Source organism: Homo sapiens, chromosome 1 (genome assembly GCF_000001405.40).
Source record: "Homo sapiens chromosome 1, GRCh38.p14 Primary Assembly".
NCBI classification, from domain to species: domain Eukaryota; kingdom Metazoa; phylum Chordata; class Mammalia; order Primates; family Hominidae; genus Homo; species Homo sapiens.
In genome coordinates this window covers 147,013,290-147,019,305 of record NC_000001.11, presented here as the reverse complement: position 1 = coordinate 147,019,305, position 6,016 = coordinate 147,013,290, and positions in this window count along the sequence as shown.

Below are 6,016 nucleotides of genomic sequence, written 5' to 3'. Positions count from 1 at the left end.
ATCAGCTGTCCTGAGATGGAAAACTCAGTGAATATAGGACCCTGATTCCGATGAATGGGGCACGTGGTCCTATTGCTGGAGCTCCTCTGGCAGGTTCTAAAAGCACACTACGGAGCAGCGGTGCCCTGCCAGACACTGCTCGTGGGGGCTCAGTGAGCACTACTCACAGATCCACACCTGACCCTGTTGGGTCGAGTCAGGCTGGGTTTTGGTCTGCACTGTAGCACCTGTGTTCTTTCAGTTCACATCATGAATGTGACTTCCCAGATACCATCTCAGGCTTAACCTAGCACATCCTATTTCTTTTCTTCTATGATATCCAAATTGGACTGACCTCACTTCAAATATCTTGTCCCATTTTGTCGTCCTATCTTACCTCGGGGAAATTGGGGACTGATGGCCAGACCAATTCTGTTGAAATTCTTGCATAGAGCAAACCTGTGCTCATTTTTAAGTGGCATGGGAGAGGCCCCCAGCCATAGTAAAGCCTAGTCTGTGTCTTCACAGTTTTGATAGAATGTGCTTGTGTGTATAGATGTATGATACAGATTTATTTATGTTGCTATCGCCATATATTGAAGGCCAACATAACTGGTGGACAGGGTGGGTGACAGAAAATGAAAGTCTTTTTGGTGATTGTTAAAGCAAGATGTGTATAAAGAAATAAATAGTTGTTCTTTCACTGCTTTGTTTCCCATTTCTGCCCCAATTCCTTGACAGTATAAAGAACTGGAAAGAGAAAATGGGAAAGACAAACTGTGTTTAAGAAGTGCACAGTCTAATGGTTGAACTCTAACTTTAAAAGATTAAGGTTTTCCTTCTTTGTCATTTTGTAAGAATCCCCAGTCTGAAAATATGAAAGAATGGTTCTTAAACTTGGTGTACCTTACAAGCAGCTGTGGAGATTATAGGAACTACCTCCTGGTCTCCAATCCCAGGAGATTTAGTTGGTGTGAGCCCTAGAATCTGCATTTTTTTAATATAAGCACCCCAGGTGATTCCATTACATGTGGGCTGCAGATCACAGTTTAAAAAAACAGTGTTCTATAACATTGAATCAAAACTAAAACTACATTTAAGAACCTTGAATCAAAAAGTATGTCATTCCATAAACATTGATATAAAAATTTTAAAATATTCCTTGGGAAAAGTTCTTAGCTACATGCTTTTGATCCCCAAGATTAAAATAAACGTATCACTTCACAATTATTTACTAGAAACATTTAAAAAATAAACAGGTAAAAGGTGGAGTAAGATGGTAGAATAGAATTCTCCAGCAATGGTCTCCCTGAAGGAACATCAAATTGAACAACTATCTATGCAAGAAAACACTCTCACGAGGGCTAACCAGGTGAGAGATCATAGCACCTGGTTTTAACATGATAACAAGAAAAGATGCATTGAAGAAGGGAGGAAGGACAGTCTTGCATTGCCTATGACACCTCTCCCCCAACCACAGGAAATTCTCTGAGAGAGAATCTAATGGCTTGGGGACAAAGAGGAAAATGTGGGACTTTATATTGAAACTTAGTCTTGCCATAGTGACACATGACACTGGACAGAACCCCACAACACTTGATTCCAGGCTGGTGCCCACAAAAGAAGCATTTAGACCCACCCTGGGCCACAGGGGAATCAGCTGCCTCAGGAGGAAGAACCCACCAAAATTCTGGCCAGCTTTATCACTGGAAATTTATTGGGCTACAAATAAATTTCAGTGGCAGGCAGGCTGTAGTGGCCGCAGTCCTTGGGCAAGCCCTGATGCTGCATAGGTCTGGAAGACCCTGGACTTGTGGTGTGAGCCAGTATGACGGCAGCAGCTGCAGCAGCTATGGAAATGCCTGTATCACACCTCCCCACACTCCAGGCAGTGCAGCCTGAAGAGATTCCTTTTGCTTGGGGGAAAGAAAGGAAAGTAAGCTAGGGGCTTTACCTGGGAATGCAGAGAATAATCCCTGATCTTTCCCAAGTCCACAGGGCTGGAGACCTAACAATCTGTAAGAATTGCAGTGTACCTGGGCCTAGGGTGCCCTGTAGTACAAAAATGGCTGCAGTGATCACTGGCTTAAGGAACTCGTCAGCCCACTTTGAATTCCTGGAAGGTCCTCTGAAGGACAGGTACAAACAAGACCTGACTGCAAAGGCTGGAATAAATACCTTATCCTTCAATGCCCAGATATTGACAAACATCAACAGTATCAATAACATTGAAGCCAATATGACCTCAACAAATGGACCAAGTAAGGCACTCAGTGACCAACCCTGGAGAGATGGAGACGTGTAACCTCTCAGGGAATTCAGAATAGCTATTTTGAGAAAGCTCAATGAACTTCAAGAAAACACAGAGAAACAATTCAGAAACATATCAGAAATTTAACAAGATTACTGAAGTAAGAGAAAAAAATCAAATGCTGGAGCTGGAAAATGCATTAGTGGGTCTCAGTAGAATTGATCAAGCAGAAGAAAGAATTAGTGAGCATGCAAACAAGCTATTTGAAAATACAGTCAGAGGAGAAAAAAGAAAAGAAGAATGAGCAGGAACACAGAATGCTTAAGAGATCTAGAAGAGGGCCTGAAAAGAGAAAATCAAAGATTCATTGGCCTTAAAGAGGGAGTTGAGAAGGAGCAAAGAGTAGAACGCTTATTCAAAGAAATAATCTTTTTTTAAAAAAAATACTTTAAGTTCTAGGGTATATGTGCACAACGTGCAGATTTGTTATATAGGTGTACGTGTGCCATGTTGGTTTGCTGCACCCATCAACTCATCATTTACATTAGGTATTTCTCCTAACGCTATCCCTCCCCCAGCCTCCTACCCCACAACAGGCCCCGGTGTGTGATGTTCCCCTCCCTGTGTCCATGTGTTCTCATTGGTCAACTCCCACTTAAGAGTGAGAACATGCGGAGTTTGGTTTTCTGTCCTTGTGATATTTTGCTGAGAATCACGATTTCTAGCTTCATGCATGTCCCTGCAAAAGACATGAACTCATCCTTTTTAATGGCTGCATAGTATTCTTTGGTGTATATGTGCCACATTTTCTTTATCTAGTCTATTATTGATGGACATTTGGGTTAGTTCCAAGTCTTTGCTATTGTGAATAGTGCCTCAATAAACATAGGTGTGCACATGTCTTTATAGTAGCATGATTTATAATCCTTTGGGTATTCACCCAGTAATGAGATTGCTGGGTCAAATGGTATTTCTAGTTCTAGATCCTTGAGGAATTGCCACACTGTCTTCCACAATGGTTGAACTAATTTATACTCCCACCAACAGTGTAAAAGCGTTCCTATTTCTCCACATCCTCTACAGCATCTGTTGTTTCCTGACTTTTTAATGATCATCATTCTAACTGGCATGAGTGGTATCTCATTGTGGTTTTGATTTGCATTTCTCTGATGACCAGTGATGATGAGCATTTTTTCATATGTCTGTTGGCTGCATAAATGTCTTCTTTTGAGAAGTGTCTGTTCATATCCTTTGCCCTCTTTTTGATGGGGTTTTTTTTTTTTTCTTGTAGATTTGTTGAAGTTCTTTGTAGATTCTGGATATTAGCCCTTTGTCAGATGGATAGATTGCAAAAATTTTCTCCCATTCTGTCGGTTGCCTGTTCTCTCTGATGATAGTTTCTTTTGCTGTGCAGAAGCTCTTTAGTTTAATTAGATCCCATTTGTCAATTTTGGCTTTTGTTGCCATTGCTTTTGGTGTTTTGATCATGAAGTCTTTGCCCATGCCTATGTCCTGAATGGTATTACCTAGGTTTTCTTCTAGGGTTTTCATGGTGTTATGACTTACATTTAAGTCTTTAATCCATCTTGAGTTAATTTTTGTGTAAGGTGTAAGGAATGGATCCAGTTTCAGCTTTCTACGTATGGCTAGCCAGTTTTTCCAGCACTATTTATTAAATAGGGAATCCTTTCCCTATTGCTTGTTTTTGTCATTTTGTCAAAGATCAGATGGTTGTAGACGTGTGGTGTTATTTCTGAGGCCTCTGTTCTGTTCCATTGGTCTATATCTCTGTTTTGGTACCAGTACCATGCTGTTTTGTTTACTGTAGCCTTGTAGTATAGTTTGAAGTCAGGTAGCATGATGCCTCCAGCTTTGTTCTTTTTGCTTAGGATTATGTTGGCTATGAGGGCCCTTTTTTGGTTCCATATGAAGTTTAAAGTAGTTTTTTTTCCAGTTCTGTGAAGAAAGTCAGTGGTAGCTCGATGGGGATGGCATTGAATCTATAAATTACCTTGGGCAGTATGGCCATTTTCATGATATTGATTCTTCCTATCCATGAGCATGGAATGTTCTTCCATTTGTTTGCGTCCTCTTTTATTTCACTGAGCAGTGGTTTGTAGTTCTCCTTGCAGAGGTCTTTCACATCCTTTGTAAGTTGGATTCCTAGATATTTTATTCTCTTTGAAGCAATTGTGAATGAGAGTTCACTCATGATTTGGATCTCTGTTTGTCTGTTCTTGGTGTACAGGAATGCTTCTAATTTTTGCACATTGATTTTGTATCCTGAGATTTTGCTGAAGTTGCTTATCAGCTTAAGGAGATTTGGGGCTGAGACGATGGGGTTTTCTAAATATACAATCTGTCATCTGCAAACAGGGACAATTTGACTTCCTCTTTTCCTAATGGAATACCCTTTATTTCTTTCTCTTGCCTGATTGCCCTGGCCAGAACTTCCAATACTATGTTGAATAGGAGTGGTGAGAGAGAGCATTGCTGTCTTGTGCCAGTTTTCAAAGGGAATGCTTCCAGTTTTTGCCCATTCAGTATGATATTGGCTGTGGGCTTGTCATAAATAGCTCTTATTATTTTGAGATATGTTCAATCAATATCTAGTTTATTGAGAGTTTTTAGCATGAAAGGCTGTTGAGTTTTGTTGAAGGCCTTTTCTGCATCTATTGAGATAATTATGTGGTTTTGTCATTGGTTCTGTTTAAGTGATGGATTACATTTGTTGATTTGTGTATGTCGAACCAGCCTTGCATCCCAGGGATGAAGCCAACTTGATCATGGTGGATAAGCTGTTTGACGTGCTGCTGGATTCGGTTTGCCAGGACTTTATTGAGGATTTTCACATCGATGTTCATTAGGGATATTGGCCTAAAATTATCTTTTTTTGTTTTGTCTCTGCCAGGCTTTGGTATCAGGATGATGCTGGCCTCATAAAATGAGTTAGGGAGGTTTCCCTCTTTTTCTATTGATTCGAATAGTTTCAGAAGGAATGGTATCAGCTCCTCTTTTTACCTCTGGTAGAATTTGGCTGTGAATCTGTCTGGTCCCGGAATTTTTTTGCTTGGTAGGCTATTAATTATCACCTCAATTTCAGAACCCGTTGATGGTCTATTCCAGGATTTGAGTTCTTCCTGGTTTAGTCTTGGGAGGCTGTATGTATCCAGGAATTTATCCATTTCTTCTAGATTTTCTAGGTTATTTGCATAGAGGTGTCATAGTATTCTCTGAGAGTAGTTTGTATTTCTGTGGGATCCATAGTGATATCCCTTTTTTCGTTTTTTACTGCATCTATTTGATTCTTCTCTCTTTTCTTCTTTATGAGTCTTGCTAGCGGGTCTATCCATTTTGTTGATTTTTTTCAAAAAACCAGCTCCTTGATTCATTGATTTTTTTTTGAAGGGATTTTTGTGTCTCGATCTCCTTCAGTTCTGCTCTGATCTTAGTTATTTCTTGCTTTCTGCTAGTTTTTGAATGTATTTGCTCTTGCTTCTCTAGTTCTTTTAATTGTGATGTTAGGGTGTCGATTTTAGATCTTTCATGCTTTCTCTTGTGGGCATTTACTGCTATAAATTTCCCTCTACACACTGCTTTAAATGTGTACCAGAGATTCTGGTACATTGTGTCTTTGTTCTCATTGGTTCCAAAGAACCTCTTTGTTTCTGCCTTCATTACATTATTTACCCAGTAGTCATTCAGGAGCAGGTTAATTCCATGTAGTTGTGCAGTTTTGAGTGAGTTTCTTAATGCTGAGTTCTAATTTGATTGCACTGTGGTCTG